The sequence below is a fragment of the Homo sapiens genome, chromosome X (assembly GCF_000001405.40).
Source record: "Homo sapiens chromosome X, GRCh38.p14 Primary Assembly".
Classification (NCBI taxonomy): domain Eukaryota; kingdom Metazoa; phylum Chordata; class Mammalia; order Primates; family Hominidae; genus Homo; species Homo sapiens.
In genome coordinates, this window is record NC_000023.11 from 48,759,139 (window position 1) to 48,778,685 (window position 19,547).

The 19,547-nt window shown below is 45.7% G+C and overlaps 1 protein-coding gene and 2 pseudogenes across 1 annotated transcript, besides 3 other annotated features; 1 reads left to right on the forward strand and 2 right to left on the reverse strand.

Moving 5' to 3' along the window:
- Window positions 2,361–3,103: a transcriptional cis regulatory region, noted in NCBI's record as "promoter|chrX:48619903-48620645 region (GRCh37/hg19 assembly coordinates) targeted for CRISPR interference". NCBI's record gives its function as "positively regulates GATA1 gene expression in K562 cells {active_cell/tissue: K562}" and the evidence as "EXISTENCE:mutant phenotype evidence [ECO:0000015][PMID:31784727]".
- GLOD5 (glyoxalase domain containing 5) lies at window positions 2,609–14,510 on the forward strand. Its single transcript, NM_001080489.3, has 4 exons — window positions 2,609–2,715; window positions 6,697–6,834; window positions 11,789–11,944; window positions 14,172–14,510. The coding sequence occupies exons 1-4, from the start codon at window positions 2,653–2,655 to the stop codon at window positions 14,295–14,297; spliced, it is 483 nt and encodes a 160-aa protein (NP_001073958.2). The 5' UTR covers window positions 2,609–2,652; the 3' UTR covers window positions 14,298–14,510.
- Window positions 5,887–6,181: an enhancer, noted in NCBI's record as "tiled region #5097; K562 Activating DNase matched - State 8:EnhW". NCBI's record gives its function as "activates a minimal TATA promoter and a strong SV40 promoter by Sharpr-MPRA in K562 cells {active_cell/tissue: K562}" and the evidence as "EXISTENCE:reporter gene assay evidence [ECO:0000049][PMID:27701403]".
- Window positions 5,887–6,181: a silencer, noted in NCBI's record as "tiled region #5097; HepG2 Repressive non-DNase unmatched - State 24:Quies". NCBI's record gives its function as "represses a minimal TATA promoter and a strong SV40 promoter by Sharpr-MPRA in HepG2 cells {active_cell/tissue: HepG2}" and the evidence as "EXISTENCE:reporter gene assay evidence [ECO:0000049][PMID:27701403]".
- Window positions 16,659–17,854, reverse strand: ACAA2P1 (ACAA2 pseudogene 1; annotated as a pseudogene).
- RNU6-29P (RNA, U6 small nuclear 29, pseudogene) lies at window positions 17,828–17,932 on the reverse strand (annotated as a pseudogene).

The window sequence follows — 19,547 nt, forward strand, 5'->3', positions numbered from 1 at the left end:
ACCACCTTGGCCTCCCAAAACGCTGGGATTACAGGCGTGAGACACCATGCCCAGCCAACACCATCAGCCCTTTGGTTCTCAGAACAACACCACTGGCTCTCCTGGGTCTCCAGCTTGCTGATGGCATATTGTGGAACTTCTCAGCTTCCAAAATCACAGGAGCCAATCCTTGTAATATATTACATATTGGTTCTGTTTCTCCTACTGGTTCTGTTTCTCTGGAGAACTCTAATACACCCAGCAATTCCACTTCTAATTCTAGTACTCAGACATGTGCACAGAGCTGTGGGAACAAGGCTGGTAGGAACAAACAACCAGGAAAATCTTGTAAATGTTCACTGATACCCAAGGACTATTGCAGAGTGAAACGAATAATGAGGGTTCATGTTACAGCACAGAGTGCCCACTGGACGTGACACAGAATGGATGGGACTTGTGTGTACCTGCAAGGGTGGGGGTTATCTTCTACAGGATGTGCTATAGGCAGGGAAAAGCAAGGGGGAGTCAGTTACAGTGACCTAGTGCATGTGTGTAGTGTGCGCACACACACACTATGGAAACACAGGGAACTGTATCTGGAAGGAAACACCAGAATCTGACCCCAGTGGTCATTCTGGGGGAATGGGGATAGAGATGATTGCTAGAGTCCATGTACTGATGTGTTGTTCAAATCTTTTTTTTTTTTTTTTTTTTCGAGAGAAAGAGTCTCCTTCTGTCATCCAGGCTGGAGTACAGTGGCACGATCTCAGCCCACTGCAACCTCTGCCACCAATTCAAGTGATTCTTGTGCCTCAGCCTCCCGAGTAGCTGGGATTACAGCTGCGTGCCACCATGCCCGGCTAATTTTTGTATTTTTAGTAGAGATGGGGGTTTCACCATATTGGCCAGGCTGGTCTTGAACTCCTGATCTCAATTGATCCACCCGCCTTAGCCTCCCAAAGTGCTGGAATTACAGGTGTGAGCCACCACCCTCAGCCTGTTTTTCAAATCTTTTATACAAACCTGTATTCACATATTATTTGTGTAACTCTTTTTAAAGGAAAATCATATGCTTAAAAACAATATCTGGCCGGGCACGGTGGCTCACGCCTGTAATCCCAACACTTCAGGAGGCCAAAGCAGGCCAATTGTAGGCAACATAGCAAGACCTCATCCCTACTAAAAATACAAAAATTAGCCAGGCGTGGTGACACACACCTGTAGTCCCAGCTACCCAGGAGGCTGAGGCAGGAGGATCCCTTGAGCCCAGGAGTTTGAGGCTGCACTGAGCCATCATGGCGCCAGTGGGCTCCAGCATGGGTGACAAAGTGAGACACTGTCTCAAAAAAAAACAAAAACAAAACAATATCCACAACACAAAGTGTTTGTGTTGGGGGTAACTAGAAACAAAAATCTCAAACTCACATGCTCCAGGGGCCAGACAAGTAACCTGTAAGGGAGATGGGGGAGTTCTGCTCAGGGTAAAGTGAACAGCAACTGGGCTGATGAATGTTCTCTGACTCTCAGCAGCGGAAGGTGAGGGTGAGTGAAGGGTGAGTGGGGAGGAGGAGGAAGACTGCAAATCTCATCCCCCAAAACTCATCCCCCAAAATAATTCAGGAACATCACACCCTGGGGCTCAGAACTTTTTTTTTTTTAAACAGAGTCTCACTCTGTCACCCAGGCTGGAGTGCAATGGCGCGATCTCGGCTCACTGCAACCTCCGCCTCCCGGGTTCAAACTATTCTCCTGCCTCAGGCTCCTGAATAGCTGGGACTACAGGTGCACACCACCATGCCTGGGTAATTTTTGTATTTTTAGTAGAGATGGAGCTTTACCATGTTGGCCAGGCTGGTCTCGAACTCCCAGCCTCAAGTAATCCGTCCACCTTGGCCTCCCAAAGTGCTGGGATTACAGGCGTGAGCCACCGTGCTTGACCAAGGGGCTCAGAACTCTTAAGAGTTCAGGGATCTTGGCTTGGAAACAGACACCTAATGGGTCAGAGCAGTCATACTCTAACTCAGATAGCTCACAACTTCATACCCCTGACACACACTCTCAAACAGCTCACAGATCTCACACTTTGGAGACATACCCCTAAGTAGACCAGAGGCATCACACGCTAGAATAAAGATCCCCTTAATACTTGGTGGTTTTTCAGTATTATTATTATTGAGATGGAGTCTTGCTCTGTCACCCAGGCTGAAATGCAATGGCGCCATCTCGGCTCACTGCAACCTCCGCCTCCCGGATTCACGCGATTCTCCTGCCTCAGCCTCCCAAGTAGCTGGGATTACAGGCGCCCGCCACCATGCCTGGCTAATGTTTTGTATTTTTAGTAAAGATAGGGTTTTGCCATGTTGTCCAGGCTGGTCTCGAAATCCTGATCTCAGGTGATCCACGTGCCTTGTCCTCCCAAAGTGCTGGGATTACAGGCATGAACCACCGCACCCAGCCTTCAGTGTTAACAAGAAGTAATCCCTTACACACATCCACTTTAAGCTTTCAATTTTGAGGCCCTGAATTTAATGTTAAAGTCCTTCCATTTGCACTACCTACCTGTGTCACCTCCCACAGTCCTCAGCCTGTGCCCTCCCATTCCTGCCCCTTGATCTCCAGGCGCTGAGCCAGAGGATTGTCGGGAGGACCCTGGGCAAAGACGCCTACCCTGCCATGCTGCGCCATCTGCCCTCCAGGCTGCCAGTCAAGATGTGGGGCAGGACTTTGGAGAAACAGGTGAACAAGATGGCCCCTGGGGATCTGGGGCAAGGGTGTTGGCACTGAAACTGGTCTAGTAACCTGTTTCCCTTCTCTGCGGGCTCCCATTTCCTGTCCTCCTCTCTCCCTTTCTCTTTCAGAGACAAGCAGAGGGCAGCAGAGGCCCATGGAAAGGCCCGGCTCTAAGCCATGGAGGGCCCTGTGCTCAGGTGTGCAGGGCTGGGCCGGGGCTGAGGGCTGGCTCCTCCCCCAGTTTAGCCAGGGACAGGTGGAGAGATACAAAGGTGGCTCACGCAGGGTGCCCCCAAAGCTGTCATGATTAAGGCCATGTGGAGAGAGGCTAGGAAACACAGCGCTGACCTTGAGCTTTAGGAGAGGAATTCAGAGGCCCCTGGCAACCTGAAGGGGACCTTGAAGAGGACCCTGTAGGAAGACAGAACACTTCCCTGTAGAGGAGGCCAAAGGAGGAAGGACATGGTGTTCCGGGCACTCTGACTATAGGGATTTTATATGCTGTGGTGAGAAATAAAATGGATTATATTTTTGTAGAGTGTGTAAAACGGGGCTTGGCACACAGTAAGCCTTGTGTGATTACTATGTCTTTTTTTTTTTTTTTTTTTGAGACCGAGGTTTGCTCTTGTCGCCCAGGGTGGAGTGCAGTGGTGCAATCTCAGGTCACTGCAACCTCTGCCTCCCAGGTTCAAGCGATTCTCCTGCCTCAGCCTCCCGAGTAGGGGATTACAGGTGCACGTCACCATGCCCAGCTAATTTTTGTATTTTTAATAGAGACAGGATTTCACCATGTAGGCCAGGCTGGTCTCAAACTCCTGACCTCATGTAATCCACCCACCTTGGCCTCCCAAAGTGCTAGGATTACAGACGTGAGCCACTGCACCCAGTCCTTTGTGTGATGACTATGTCTTGATCATCATTTTATAAAGCAGGCTTTGTAACTTCACCTCCAAGAGTCTGCAGGATCCAGACCCTGCCTTGCCCTCCCACTTATCTCTCACTCACTCTTGGGTTCTGAGCTACGCTGGCCTTCCTGTTATTGAAGACAGCCATCCCTGCTCGTCCTTGAATTTGCAAGGATGGAGCTCCGAGTCTGCAAAGCAGGATCTGGGGAGTGAATCTAAGCTGGCAGGGAAGAATAGAATAATGGGAGGAATAGGTGGAGTTTATTTCTAACAGACTATCAAAATGATGCAGATGTGGCCAAAGCAGTGCTTAGAGGAAATCTATAGTTCTAAATGCACAGATCAGAAAAGTAGAAAAGTTGAAAATCAATGACCTGAGCTTCCCTATCAAGAAACTGGGAAAAGAATGGCAAGTGGAACCTAAGAAAGTAGAAGGAAGGAAATTATAACAGCAGAAACTGGTGAAATAGAAAGCAAAGATACAATAAAGCCAACAATGTTAAAAGTTGATTCTTTGAACAGATTAATAAAATACTAGCAATGTCTATTTTCTCTCGAGAAATTAAGAAAATATATGGATTGCCAATATCAGGAATATAAACAGGGTATTGTGACAGATTCTACAGATGTTAGAAGGTTAATAAGGGCTGGGTGCAGTGGCTCATGCCTGTAACCCCAACACTCTGGGAGGCTGAGGAGGGAGGATTGCTTGAGCCCAGGAATTCAAGACCAGCCTGGGAAACATAGTGAGCCCTCACCTCTACAAAAAAAAAGAAAAAAGAAAACAAAAAATAGTTGGGCATGGTGGCACACACCTGTAATCCCAGCTACTAGGGAGGCTGAAGTAGGAGGATTGCTTGAGTCCAGGAGGTTGAGGCTGCAGTGAGCTGTGATCATGCCACCATGCTCCAGGCTGGGCAACAAAGCAAGACCCTGTCTCAAAAAGGGAATTAAAAAAGAAAGTTAATAAAATTTATTTCAACATATGACTTTATTTTCAATGGAGCCAAAATGTCGGTCATTTTCTCTTTCTGCAGTTCCTATGTCCATGTGGATCTTTTGTATCCACCGGGAGAGCAAAACTCAGCAACTTTGCTAATGCCTCCTCCACTCAGGAAAATAGAATGGTACAGGATTTTTTTTAGCTGGAGCTCAGTGAAATCAATTGTTTAAAATGGGCTGGTTTCAATGGAACTAAACGCAGTGGAATAGAAAATAATAAAATAGCAAAGGGTAGAACAGAATAGAATGGAATCCAATGGAATCGAATCGAACAGAATAGAAACTAGTCAGACTTTGTGCCAAGCACTGTCCCTAGTTGTTGCAGTAGATATTTATTTATTGAACAAATATGATTGAACTAGTTGTTTGGGAAAGAGTGGGGAACAAAACAGACAGAAGTCCCTGCTCTTATGAAGCTTACATTCTAGTCAGGGAGACAGGCATTACCATCTGCAAAGGCCCATAAATGAAAGGTACAAGGGTGGTCCTTATGAGGAACAGGCTAAAGGACAGTGTAGATTGGAGTTCAAGAGCAATGGATGAGGCTGTAGAGATAGGGTGTCATTGTAACTGGAGTCTAGATTTTAACAAGATGACCACACATCATCATCATCATCAATCGTTTTATAGCACTTGATATGTATTAGGCATTGTTCTATGCCCTTAAAAACAGTACTTTTTTAAAACTCTCACAATAATCCTACATGTATAAAATCATGCTCATTTTATAGAAGGGGAAACCAAGGCACAGATAAATTAGATAAATTATTTAAACGTCAATCTGGTTCCAGAATCTTCTTTTTTTTTTTTTTTTTTAGATACAGTCTTGCTCTGTCACCCAGGAGTCCGGTTGAGTGATCATAGCTCATTGCAACCTCCGCCTCCCAGGCTCAAGTGATCCTCCCACCCCAGGCCCCCAAGTAACCAGAACTACACGTGAGCGCCCCACAACCTAATTTTCATATTTTTTTGTAGATACAGGGTCTCACTGTGTTGCCTAGGCTGATCTCAAACTCCTAGGTTCAAGGGATCTGTCTGCCTCAGCCTTCCAAAGTGCTGAGATTACAGGTGCCACCACTAGAATCTATTCTTTTAAGCATTATACTCCATTGCCTATAGTGCCAGACCACAGGTGCTTTATAATCCTGTAGCATAGATACTATAAATATTCAAATTACTAAATAATTCAAGTCAAGAGAAAGATCTGATGGGAAGTGTGCTGAGGGCGGGAAAGTGGAAGGTTGGGGAGTGGTCCTCCCTCTGGGTGTCAAGGTGGATCTGTAAACACGCACGCCCAGAAACCTTCATTTCTTCTGAGATGCCCCCTTCTTGTCTTGTTCTCTGTGACTGAAGCTGCAGAATGGGAAAGGAGGGGGCTGGGTAAAATTGGCCAATTCACAGGACTGGGCCTCCTCTGTGTCTTGTCACTTCTTGGAAAAGAGATGAATTCTATTTAGGGAAAAACAGGGGAGGGCATTGTCTTGGTCTCCACTCCCCTAATCTTCACTTCTGGAAGAGGAGAAAGGGAACAAGAAGGCTGGGTGCAGTGGCTCACCCCTGTAATCCCAGCACTCTGGGAGGCCGAGGTAGGCAGATCACTTGAGGTCAGGAGTTTGAGTTTAAGACCAGCCTGACCAACATAGTGAAACCCCGTCTCTACTAAAAATACAAAAATTAGCTGGGCGTGGTGACACACACCTGTAGTACCAGCTACTCAGGGGGCTGAAGCAGGAGAATCGCTTGAAGCTGGGAGGCGGAGGTTGCAGTGAGGTGAGATTGTGCCACTGCACTCCAGCCTGGGCAACAGAGTGAGACTCTGTCTCAAAAAAAAAAAAAAAAAAAAAAAAAGAAAAGGAAACAAGGAAACAGTGGAAAGTGGTCATGGTAGACATGTGGGCTCTCATGAATCCACACATGGGCAGTAAGACTCTACCAGTAAGTATTCTCTCAGGCCTTTCCCCTTGAAGGGGGGTGAGGAGGAAGTAGTGTAATTGGGGAGGTAGGGGGAGGTGAGGAGAAGAAAACACAGGCGTTGACAAGTGGCAATGTGGTCTCTTCTGACTTTTTTTTCTTTTTTTAGTCATGGAGGGACAGCAGTCAGACCCCTCCCCCATGTCTTATCCGTAGACTTGACCACATCGTGATGACGGTGAAGAGCATCAAAGACACCACCATGTTTTATTCCAAGATCCTGGGCATGGAGGTCATGACTTTTAAGGTAAGCACTTCCCCAAATGCCAAAATTCAGGTGGGCTAAAATTTGTTGATAACACTTTAACATATAACTTAACTCTAAAAGGAAAACCACAGGAAATCTGAGAGAAAATATAAAGAGATCAATAGAGGAGATTCCAAACTGAATATTTGGACTTCCAGAGAGAGAATGGAGAAAAAAGAGAGGAGGAAATTATCATAGAAACAATGCAAGATAACTTTGCAGTCTCTACATGGAAAAGGTTAACCAAGTATCCAGCATGTTGACACTTAACATGGATCCTTCTAAAATTATAGAACATCAAACTGAAAAAGTAGATCCTAAGAGCTTTCATAGAGATTAAAAAGTAGATTATCTACAAAGGAAAAAAAAACAAATATCAGATTTTCCAAGAGACCAGAGACCAAAAGATAAAAGGACACCTTCAAGATTCTGAGGGGAAAATTTTCCACCTAGAATTCTATGTCCAACCAAACTATTAACCAAAGGTAAATGTAGGGGCCAGGTGCGGTGGCTCATGCCTGTAATCCCAGCACTTTGGGAGGCCGAGGTGGGCGGATCACTTCAGGTCAGGAGTTTGAGACCAGCCTGGCCAACATGGCAAAACCCCATCTCTACTAAAAGTACAAAAATTAGCTGTGCATGGTGGTGCACGCCTGTAATCCCAGCTACTTGGGAGGCTGAGGCATGAGAATTGCTTGAGCCTGGGAGGCAGAGGTTGCAGTGAGCTGAGATTGCACTACAGCACTCTAGTCTGAGTGACAGAGCAAGACTGTATCAAAAAAAATCAAACAAAAATGTAAATGTAGAATAAAAGCATTCTTAGTCATACGAAGTCTTACAAAATTTCCCACTTGCTTTGAAAATTACCTGAGGCTATGCTATATCAAAATGGGGGAGTGGCCGGGCACAGTGGCTCACACCTGTAATCCCAGCACTTTGGGAGGCAGAGGTTGCAGTGAGCCGAGATCGCATCACTGCACTCCAGCCTGGGTGACAGAGCAAGATTCCATCTCAAAAAAAAAAAAAAAAAAAACCAACATTGGATGACTATGAATCTGGGAATATGGAAGACATGGAAGTCAGGCCACAATGGATCCCAAGAGGAAGATCCCAGAAAGGTACTTAGAGAACCATCAGTCCAGTTTGGAACAGGTGTAAGAAAGACCCCAGGAAAGACAGATCCAAGGGGAAAAAAAAGAGGTTTCCAGAGATTGAACTACCCTTGAGAATTTGGAATAACTTCAAAAAAGGTAAATGCAGAGAAAGCAAAAAATGCCTTACTAAGATGTGCTTCAGTAAGTGAATGGATGTATCAACTGTGGCACATCCAGACAATGAAATATTATTCAGTGATAAAAACAAATGGATTATCTGCCAGGTGCAGTGGCTCATGCCTATAATCCCAACACTTTGGGAGGCCGAGGCGGGTGGATCACCTGAGGTCAGGAGTTTGAGGCCAGCCTGGCCAACATGGTGAAACCCCGTCTCTACTAAAAGTACAAAAATTAGCTGTGCATGGTGGTGCACGCCTGTAATCCCTGATTACGTGGATCACCTGAGGTCAGGAGTTTGAGGCCAGCCTATAATCCCACACAGGCATGGTGGCGGGCGCCTGTAATCCCAGCTACTCGGGAGGCTGAGGCAGGAGAATCACATGAACCCAGGAGGCGGAGGTTGCAGTGAGCCAAGATTGCACCATTGCACTCCAGCCTGGGCGACAGAGCAAGACTCCATCTCAAATAGATAAATTAATTAAATAAAATAAATGGACTATCAATCCATGAAAAGACATGGAGGAAACTTAAATGCATATTACTAAGTAAAAGAAGTGGGGGAGGCTGTGCATATGTGGGGGCAAGGTGTATATATCCCTATACCTCCTGTTCAATTTTGCTGTGGACCTAAAACCGCTCTAAAACAATTAAGTACACATGAACACCCCTCCCACACACACATATAACTTAAATAGAAAGGGCTTGAGGAATCGCAAACAGGAGAAGAAAAATTTTTTTAGACAGTGTCTCACTCTGTTGCCTAGGCTGGAGTATACTGGTGCGATCACAGTTCACCACAGCCTCAACCTCCCAGACTCAGGTGCTTCTCTTGCCTCACCCTCCTGAGTAGTTGAGACTGTAGGCACGTGCCACCACACCTGGCCAATTTTTTCTATTTGGCTAAAAATGTTAAATCTAACATGGAACCTTATGCAGAAATGTAGTATTATGCAACATCAGACTGGATGTGTACACAGCAACACGGACGGGTCTTGAAAAGAACGTGCTGAGTGAAAAATGAAGAAACAATCAGGTCTACAGCATGCTACCCATTACAATACACACACATAAAACAGTAACACACTTTTTACAGCAATTTATGAAAACCAAAGGATACACATCAAACGCACTATAATGGTTGCCTAAGGTGGAGATGGGAATGGATAATGAACAGAAAAAGATAAATAAAACAAGAGATAGTCCTTGCGTGGGCCAATGGTGATAACGAGGTGTATGATGCCTCAACCTCTGTACTTGGACACAATGGAGTGAAATTTCAGAACATTAGGATTAAGAAAAATCCTAAAGCTGCAGTAGTGGAAGATGGATGTATCACCAACCAAAGAATAAAACGCAGATGAACATCAGACTTCTTAACAGCAACACCACATTTGGGGAAGACAATGAAGCAACATATTTAAAAGGCTATGGGAAAATAAGCTGCAACCTACAACTGCACACTGAGCCAAACTATCCTCAAGTCCAAAAGTGAAATAAAGTTGGCCAGACGTGGTGGCTCACGCCTGTAATCCCAACACTTTGGGAGGCTGAGATGGGTGGATCACTTGAGGTCAGGAGTTCGAGACCAGCCTGGACAACATGCTGAAACCCCATCTCTACTAAAACTACAAAAATTAGCCAAGCATGGTGGCTCGCGCCTGTAGTCCCAGCTACTCGGGAGGCTGAGGCAGGAGAATTGCTTGAACTCAGGAGGCGGAGGTTGCAGTGAGCTGAGATCTCGCCACTGCACTCCAGCCTGGGTGACAGAGCGAGACTCTGTCTCAAAAAAAAAAAAAAAGTGAAATAAAGTCATTTTCTGATTGAATGGATGTGGTATCATTCATAGTGATATAAAAGAGATAGAAAAAGAAAAAAAGAAATGGCACATGTTGAGAGGTCCAGGAGAGGGAGGATTCATGAAGAACATGGCAGGGCTGTGAGTTAATCTGTAGTTGATCTACAAAAATAAACTTGCAGCCAAGCGTGGTGGCTCACGCCTGCAATCCCAACACTTTGAGAGGATGAGGCAGGAGGATCGCTTGAGCTCAGGAGTTGGAGTCCAGCCTGGGCAACATACTGAGACTACTGTCTCTACAAAAAAAAAAAAAAAAGTTTTATAATTAGCCAGGCGTGGTGGTGCGCACCTATAATGGAATCCCAGCTACTCAGGAGGCTGAGACAGGAGGATTGTTTGAGGCCAGGAGGTCAAGGCTGCAGTGAGCCGTGATTGCACCACTGCATTCCAGCCTGGGTGATAGAATGAGACTCTGTCTCTTAAAAAAATAAATAAATAAACAAAATAAACATGCAAATGGGTTAGTTAAAAATTGTTAAGGAGCTAAAAGAGAAACTAAAAACGATAATCAAATTGTATTGGAAGAGATAGTAATGTGAATGAGCTAAATTTTCATTTGTCATAGCAGGGAGTTGCTAAATCAAGAAATAGTGGTGCAGCCGGGCACACTGGCTCACATCTGTAATCCCAGCACTTTGGGAGGCCGAGGCGGGGAACACTTGAGCCAGGAGTTCAAGACCAGCCTGGGCAACACGGGGAGACCCGGTCTCTACAAAAAATAAAAAAAAATTAGCCAGGCGTGGTGGGGTGTGCCTGTGGTCCCTGCTACTCAGAGGCTGAGGTTGCAGGATCACTTGAGTCTGGGAGGTTGAGGCTGCAGTGAGCCGTGATCACTGCACTGAAGGCTGGGCGACAGAGCAAGACTCTGTCTCAAAAAAAAAAAAAAAAAGACGCCAGGCACAGTGACTCACACCTGTAATCTCAGCACTTTGGGAGGCTGAGGTGGGCAGATCACCTTAGGTCAGGAGTTTGAGACCAGCCTGGCCAACATAGCAAAACCCCATCTCTACTAAAAATATAAAAATTAGCTGGGCATGGTGGCGTGTGCCTGTAGTCCCAGCTACTCCAGAGGCTGAGGCACGAGAATCACCTGAACCAGGGATGTGGAGGTTGCGGTAAGCCAAAATGGTGCCACTGCACTCCAGCCTGGGCAACAGAGCAAGACTCTGTCTCAAATAATAATAAATAAATAAATAAATAAACAAACAAACAGTGGTGCATCAGTTAGGGACTTTGGAGGCATGTAGGAGAAAACTCAACTAACTGTGGGTTAAACAAGACAAGAGTTTTCTTTTCGTTTCACTGAACAACCAGTCCAGAGGTAGTTAGTCAGGTCATGGGCAGTGGCTGGGAAGCAAGAGGAAGTGAATGAGCAATAAGGGCCAGCGCAGTAGGGTTGGGAGGTTCCCAGAAGCCCCATCCACACCTCTGCCCCCATCTCATTGCCTGGTCCAGCTAACGTGGCCTCCGGACGTGCTGGGAAATGTAGGTTTTTAAAGTTGGGTACACGGTTGACCCCACTGAAATTTCTGTTGTGTTTATAAGAAATAAAGGGGAAATGTATACTGGGTAGGCAAATTGCTATCTCTGCCTTGAGTGGTATAAACACTATTTGGAGATATGGAAATAATTTCAAGGAGAAATAAACTCGTACACTTGCCTCTAGGGAATGAGCCTTGGGTGGGGCAAAGGGCTGTTGTGTAGTAGCCCCATTCTAGTTTTTATTTTTTTTAAACCTTGTTGGGATAGGTGGAAAGGCTTCATCTCACACTCATCTTGGAGGTTTAATTCTAGGCTGTTTTCTCTGCCCCTCCCCACCAAGTAGGAAGACCGGAAAGCACTGTGTTTTGGAGACCAGAAATTTAACCTCCACGAGGTGGGAAAGGAATTTGAACCCAAAGCCGCTCACCCAGTTCCTGGCTCCCTGGACATATGTCTGATCACAGAGGTGCCTTTGGAGGAAATGATCCAGCACCTCAAGGTGAGTGGGACTTCTCTTCTTTTTGCAAAAGCTGCTGCAAACGCAGTGAAAACAGAAGAATGACCCAGAGAGGTAACAAGTTTTACCACAACCAGATAATGTCTGCACACAGTTATGTACTATTTTGACTGACAATTCTTTCATGTAAATAAATGTGTTTAAAAAGGAAACTGTGCGTTCCCATTGTAAAACAAACAAACAAACAAACAAACCTACATTTATGCACTGAAATACTTTTTTTTTTTTTTTTTGAGACAGAGTCTTGCTCTGTTACCCAGGCTGTAGTATAGTGGCTTGATCTCGGCTCACTGCAACCTCCACCTCCTGGGTTCAAGCGATTCTCCTGCCTCAGCCTCCCAAGTTGCTGGTACTACAGGTGCGTGCCACCACACCTGGCTAATTTTTGTAGTTTTAGTAGAGACAGGGTTTCACCACGTTGGCCAGGCTGGTCTCAAACTCCTGACCTCAAGTGCTCCGCCCACCTCGGCCTCCCAAAGTGCTGGCCATTACAGGCATGAGCCACGTGCCCAGCCCTAAATACATTTATATAAAAAGAAAACGTTCATCCAAGTACATGAAAAACCCATTATATCTTGGCATAAAGGAAAAGTAACTGTAAAAACCAACAGCTATGAAAGCATAACAATGTCATTAGATTCTAGCCACTTCCGTTCCCTGTACTCCCTGGCCCTGACATTACAAAGGGAGATATGGCAGGTGGTTAAAGAGATACTAAGAACTTGTTAGCATCCACCTTCTATGTGTAAAAAGAAGGACTGAAAGAAGATTGGAGAGGGAATAATTTCTGATTTGTTGTTATTTAATCCAGTGTCTCTGTAATACTTAAAATGATGTCATCTAGAAGAGGCATTGGTTGGGCACGGTCACTCACGCCTGTAATCCCAGCACTTTGGGAGGCTGAGGTGGCAGGATCATTTGGGCCAGGAGTTCCAGACCAGCCTGGGCAACATAGTGAGATCCCATCTCTTAAAAAAAATAAACAGAGTAGCCAGGCATGGTAGTGCATGCCCGTAATCCTAGCTATTCAAGAGGGTGAAGTGGGAGGATCACTTGAGCCCAGGAGGTGGAGGCTACAGTGAGCTATGATCACGCCACTGCACTCCAGCCTGGGTGATACAGCAAGACCCTGTCTCTAAAAAATTAAAATAAGGCTGGGGCACAGTGGCTCATGCCTGTAATCCCAGTGCTTTAGGAGGCCAAGGAGGGAGGATCACTTGAACCCAGGAATTTGAGACCAGCCTGGGTAACATGGCGAGACCCTGTGTCTACATAAAATACAAAAAAAAATTAGCCAGACGTGGCGGTGTGTGCCTGTAGTCTCAGCTACTTGGGAGGCTAAGAGGTGGGAGGATCGTTTGAGCCCAGGTTGAGGCTGTAGTGAGCTGTGATCGCACCACTCCATTCTAGTCAGTGTGACAGAGCAAGGCCCCATCTCTACAATAAATAAATAAAAGGGGTTTTAGTTTCCCTTTTGCAGAACACGGATTGAGGTCTTATATATATTCTGTGCAAATAACCTAGACTCCTTCTTTGGGAAGTGTCAGTGAAAAAGACTGGTTTGGAAGTAAAATGGGTGAAGCATAGGGGTTAAGAGTATGGTCGTTGACCCAGACTGCCTAGGTTCGAATTCTGGTTCTGCCATTTACTAGATAATACTAGGTACTATTATCCTTCCCATTTTACAGATGAGGAGATCGAGGTACAGGGTAGTTAGGTACTGTGCCCAAGGCCATCTAGCTGATAAGTGGCTGGAACGGAGTGATGGAGGGGAGGATGGTAGGAGATGAGGTCAGAAAGATACAGCGGTGTTCTAAGGTCTTCTAGGCCACTATAAGGAATTAAATTTTACAGGCCAGGCGCAGTGGTTCATGCCTATAATTCCAGCACTTTAGGAGGCTGAGGCGGGCGGATCACTTGAGGTCAGGAGTTCGAGACCAGCCTGGGCAGCACAGCAAGACCTCGTCTCTATGAAAAATAGCTGGGCATGGTGGCATGCGCCTGTAATCCCAGCTACTCAGGAGGCTGAGGTGGGAGAATTGCTTGAGCCTAGGAGGCAGCGGAGGTTGCAGTGAGCTGAGATCTCACCACTGCACTCCAGCCTGGGTGACGGAGCGAGACTCTGTCACAAAAAAAAAAAAAAGGCATTAAATTTTGGTCTCACACACACATTTTGACGAACGACTTTTGTCTTTTCTTCCCACTTCAGGCTTGTGATGTCCCTATTGAGGAGGGGCCAGTCCCCAGAACAGGGGCAAAAGGGCCTATCATGTCCATCTACTTCCGAGACCCCGACAGAAATCTGATTGAGGTGTCCAACTACATCTCCTCGTGATGGAGGCTGGACCTCCTCCATTCTGTCCCCCTTGATGTCGCCCTCTCCTTTCCTTCCTGCAAACCCCCACCCAGGCCCAGAGATCTCCAAAGACTGAGGACTTAGGCACTTCACACATCCTGCTGAGGGGGGACCCAAGACAGGTTTGGGACCAAACCTACATGTCTGTATGTCATCAAAGTTGGCCTAATAAATGCATAACCTCTCAATGAATACGGGGTCTTCGTTACTGTATTGGCGCCATGCATGGGTGTTTATGTAGGGTGTGAGATCTCTGAGCTGTTCGGTCGGAGGCCTATGACCAGGGTATGACGCCTCTGAGCACCGAATCTAGGGTCATCACCTCGGGATTCAAGGCCCCTGACAGATTTCTCCTTGTCAGTGATGCCATTGTCTTCATCCTTTCCTAACTTTTCTCACTCCTCCAGCTGCTGCCTGCTGTTTTCTCCATTCCTGGGCCTCGCAGAATCCCAGGATCTCTTATTCCCATCAGACCTTCCAGGACCAGCACCAGGTGATACTACCTCTTTCAGGAGAGCCTTCTCTAGTCTCACTCTCAGGGTATTTAGCACTTTCTACCTTTGGATCTAGTAGATCAAAGAATTCGAGACCAGCCTGGGCAACATAGTGAGACCACCCACCTCCACAAAATAAATAAAGAAATAAGCCAAATCATCTCAATTGAAGCATAGCTTGTGGCAGGTTAGGTGGGACAAGGTCAGATTTCCTGTTTCTGCCCCCCCTCCACCATTCAGTCAACTAAAATACATATGTTAACCACCTGTGTGCCAGGCCCTGTTCCAGGCACTGGAGAGACAGCATTGAGCAAAGGAGATAAGCATACCCCTGTTGGTGGAGTTGCCATTCTAGTGGGAGAGAAAGAAAATAAATAAAACTAAGTAGGTAAAATATTAAGTATGTTACAGGTTGGTAAATGGTTTGGAGAAAAAGAAAACACGGAAAAGAGGGAATGCAGATAAAAACTGTTGGGGCAGGTTGGACACAGTGGCTCACGCCTGTAATCCCAGCACTTTGGGAGGCCGAGGTAGGTGGATCACTGAGGTCAGGAGTTTGAGACCAGCCTGGCCAACATGGCAAAACCCCGTGTCTACTAAAAATACAAAAATTAGCTGGCTGTGGTGGCGCATGCCTGTAGTCCCAGCTACTTGGGAGGCTGAGGCACCAGAATTGCTTGAACCTGGAGGCAGAGGTTGCAGTGAGCTGAGATTGCACCACTGCACTCCTTCCTGGGTGACAGAGCGAGACTCTGACTTGAAAAAAAAAATTGCTAGGACAGCTTCTGATGTCTAATGAGGCGGTCCCGGAAAGTGTGACTGAGAAGTGTCTTGAGCACAGATCTGAAGAGATGAGGGATGAGCCACACAGATGGCCAGTGGAGGAAGGGCACACCAGGCAGAGGCATCGGCCAGTGCAAAGGCCCTGATGCATGAATGTGCCTGCTGTGTGTGAGGAACAGCAAGGACGCCAGTTGGGGAAGCAAGGGGTACAGATGGGTGCGGTCTGGCAGGCCAGGGCGAGGACTTTGTCTTTTACTATGAGCGACAGGCAGCTGAAGGAGGGTTGTGGGCAGAGGAGGGATGTGATCTGATTTAGGATTTAACAGGCTCCCTCTGGCCACTGCGGAAAATAGACTGTCAGGGCGAGGGTGGAAACAGGCGACCAGTGAGGGGGAGGCCCCTGCAGTGGTCCACGCAAGTGTGATGGCAGGGACAGGGGAAGTGATTTTTATTTGTTTGGGTTTTTTGTTTTTTTTGGTAGAGTCGGGGTCTCGCTATGTTGCTCAGGCTGGTGTCGAACTCCTGGCCTCAAGAGATCCTCCTGCCAGGCGCGGTGGCTCACACCTGTAATCCCAGCACTTTGGGAGGCTGAGACGGGCAGATAACGAGGTCAGGAAATCAACACCATCCTGGCTAACACGGTGAAACCCCATCTCTACTAAAAATACAAAAAATTAGCCAGGCATGGGGCGGGCGCCTGTAGTCCCAGCTACTTGGGAGGCTGAGGCAGGAGAACGGTGTGAACCCGGGAGGCGGAGCTTGCAGTGAGCTGAGATCGTTTCCCTGCACTCCAGCCTGGGTGACAGAGGGAGACTCTGTCTCAAAAAAAAAAAAAAAAAAATCCTCCTGCCTCAACCTCCCAAACTGCTGGGACTATAGGCGTGAGCCACCGCACTCAGCCAGGAGATGATTTTTTTTTTGAAGTTAAGGCAACATTTATTTGATTTCCTTATAACCATATTATCTAAGGCAGAAGTGGTGGTTACTTGGCAAGAATACAATTTCTTTTAATGTCTTCTATAGTTGAGTTTTAGTTCAGAAATACATATTTCACTGGTACAAATCTGAGAGACCGTACTTCTAGCATGGGCTCCTATTCATGATCAATGCATTTTTGTATCACCATGGCTTGAACAAACTCAATCACTGTTTCAATGGCAGGACATGGCCAGTTGTGGCAGCTGCTCTGAAGGTCACTTGTTTTACTGTGGCCTGGCCAAGTAGAATAAGAGTGGGTCACAGTGAGCTCACTGGTCTCTTCAGGCTGTGCTCTGAATGATGACAGCAATACCTTGGCCACCTCCAATGCAAGCTGATCCAACGGCATATTTTCCACCTCGACGCCTTAATTCATCAACCAATCCAGATCCTCCCAGTGGGTGACCCAAAGCAATGGCTCCTCCATTCACATTGGTTTTACTTATGTCAAGATCCAAACTCTTCTCAACAGCCAAGTACTGGGGAGCAAAAGCTTCATTCACCTCTACCAAATCCATGTCCTTAAGACTCAGTCCTGCTTTCTTCAGTGCCCCACTGATAGCAAGGACAGGACCAATACCCATGATAGAGGGATCACATACAGATACAAAGTAGCCCACAATTCTTGCCAGTGGTGTGAAATTATGGTTCTTAACAGCATCTTCACTAGCTATGATAACAGCTCCAGCACCATCAGCTATCCCCGATGCATTCCCTGCAGTGACAGTACCATCTTTCTTGAATACTGGAGGAAGTTTCTGTAACTATTCCAGGGTTGTTTGGGGCCCAGCATGCTCATCTACCTGCATTGTCTGTTTTCCTTTCTTTGTCTTCACTTCAATTGGTGCCATTTCATCATTAAAGTAGCCAGCATCATTAGCAGCTTTCCATCTCTGCTGTGACTGCAGGCCGTATTTGTCACATTCTTCTCTGCTTATTTTATGTTTTACAGCAAGATTCTCTGCAGTCATTGCCATGGGGAGCTGGACATGCTGATCTGTTAATCCTATCCATAAAGAATCTTCCAGCTTGATATCTGATCCAAGCTTGGTTCCAAAACACACATTTCTGACACAGTAGGGAGCTTGGCTCATGCTTTTGGTTCCTCCGCATAAAACAACTTCAGCTTCTTTAACACAAATTTCCTAACACCTATTCACAGTGGACTGAAAACCAGAACCACAGAGCCTATTAATCGTGAGAGCTGGGGTCTCCTTTGGGATTCCCACACGCAAACCAACATGCCTTGCCAAAAAAATATGGAACGCTTCACGAATTTGCATGTCATCCTTGCGCAGGGGCCATGCTAATCTTCTCTGTATCGTTCCAATTTTAGTATATGTGCTGCCGAAGCAAGCATGGAGATGATTTTTTTAAAATGGTTAGATTCTGGAGATATTTTGAAGATAGGGACTGGATGAGTTCAACAAAAAAGAGGATGTCAGCTAGAGAAGAGGCCTGAGGACATTTTGGGTTCTAAAACAAGAGAAGGGACAGACAGATGAGTCAGGCAAGTGGGAAGGGAAGTGTGTGGATTCCTGAGTGAAGGAGTGATGGATGGAGGAGCATGCGTGAGAGTCTCCTGAAGTAAAGGAGCCCCTGGTCTTCTGGACTCTGGTCGCTAAATAGTCTTCAGACGGTAGTTCAGCCAGACCCTGTGACTGAACCGCCAAGGAGCCCCAAGAGTGCTGCGAAGAGAGGGAGTGTGAGGATATGAGTTTTAGCAAGTAAAAGGCTTTCCTAAAACCTGTAGCATTTTCTGGCAGTGGAAAAAAAGAGGAAAGGGGTTTTCTGCCTCATTCTAAAAGACAATTTGCCATGGACCCAGACATTATATGCCTGAAGATGGATGATTTATGGATGAAAGGAAAGAGAAAATGAAGGAATAGAAGAAGGAAGGAAGGAACAGATGGGTGGATGGGTGAGTGGGTAGGTAGATGAATGAATGGGTAGATGCTCTGATATTTCCTCCCTCCTCCCCCGAGAAACTCCTTCACAGGTGTGCACAGAGAGAGGAATATGAGTTTATGAATTGCAGATTTGCTATAATAGGGAAAGAAACTAGAAACAATGCAAATGTTCATCAACAGATTAGTGGTTAAACAAAATGTGGTATATCCATTCCATGGAATATTACTTTCAATAAAAGGGAACGAACTTATGAGGCCAGCATTACTCTGATGAGAAAACTAGACAAAGATATCACAAGAAAAACTACAGACCAATATCTAAGTATAGATGCAAAAATCCTCAAAAAAATACAAGTAAGTAGAATCCAGCAACATATAAAAGGATTATACACCACGGCCAAGTGGGATTTATCCCAAGAATGCAAGGTTTGGTCAACTAATGAAAATCAATCAATATAATGCATCATATTAACATAATAAAGAACAAACACCACATGATCTTTTCAGGAGATGCAGAAAAAACATTTGACAAAATTCAACATTCCTTCATGATAAAAACACTCAACAAACTAGGAATAGAAGAGAACTTCCTCAACCTGATAAAGGACATCCACAAAAAACCCACAGCTAAGATCATACTTAATGGTGAAAGTTGGAAAGGAACAACACAAGGATGCCCCTTCTTACCATGTCTTTTCAACACTGTATTGGATGCTCTACCTGGGGCATTAGGCAACAAAAAGAAATAAAACGTATCCATATTGGAAAGGAAGAAGTAAAACTATCCCTATATGCAGATGACATGATCTTATACATAGAAAATGTTAAGGAATCCACCACGAAACCATTAGAGCCCCATTAGTGCATAACCATTAGAGCAAGGTTGCAGGATATAAGATTTTGTATCATATATGCTAGCAATTAACAATCCAAAAGTGAAATTAAGAAAACTATTCCATTTACAATAGCTTCAAAATGAATAAAATACTTAGTAATAAAATGAATGAAAGAAGGGTAAGACTTATACACTGAAAACCATAAAATATTATTGAAAGAACTTAAAG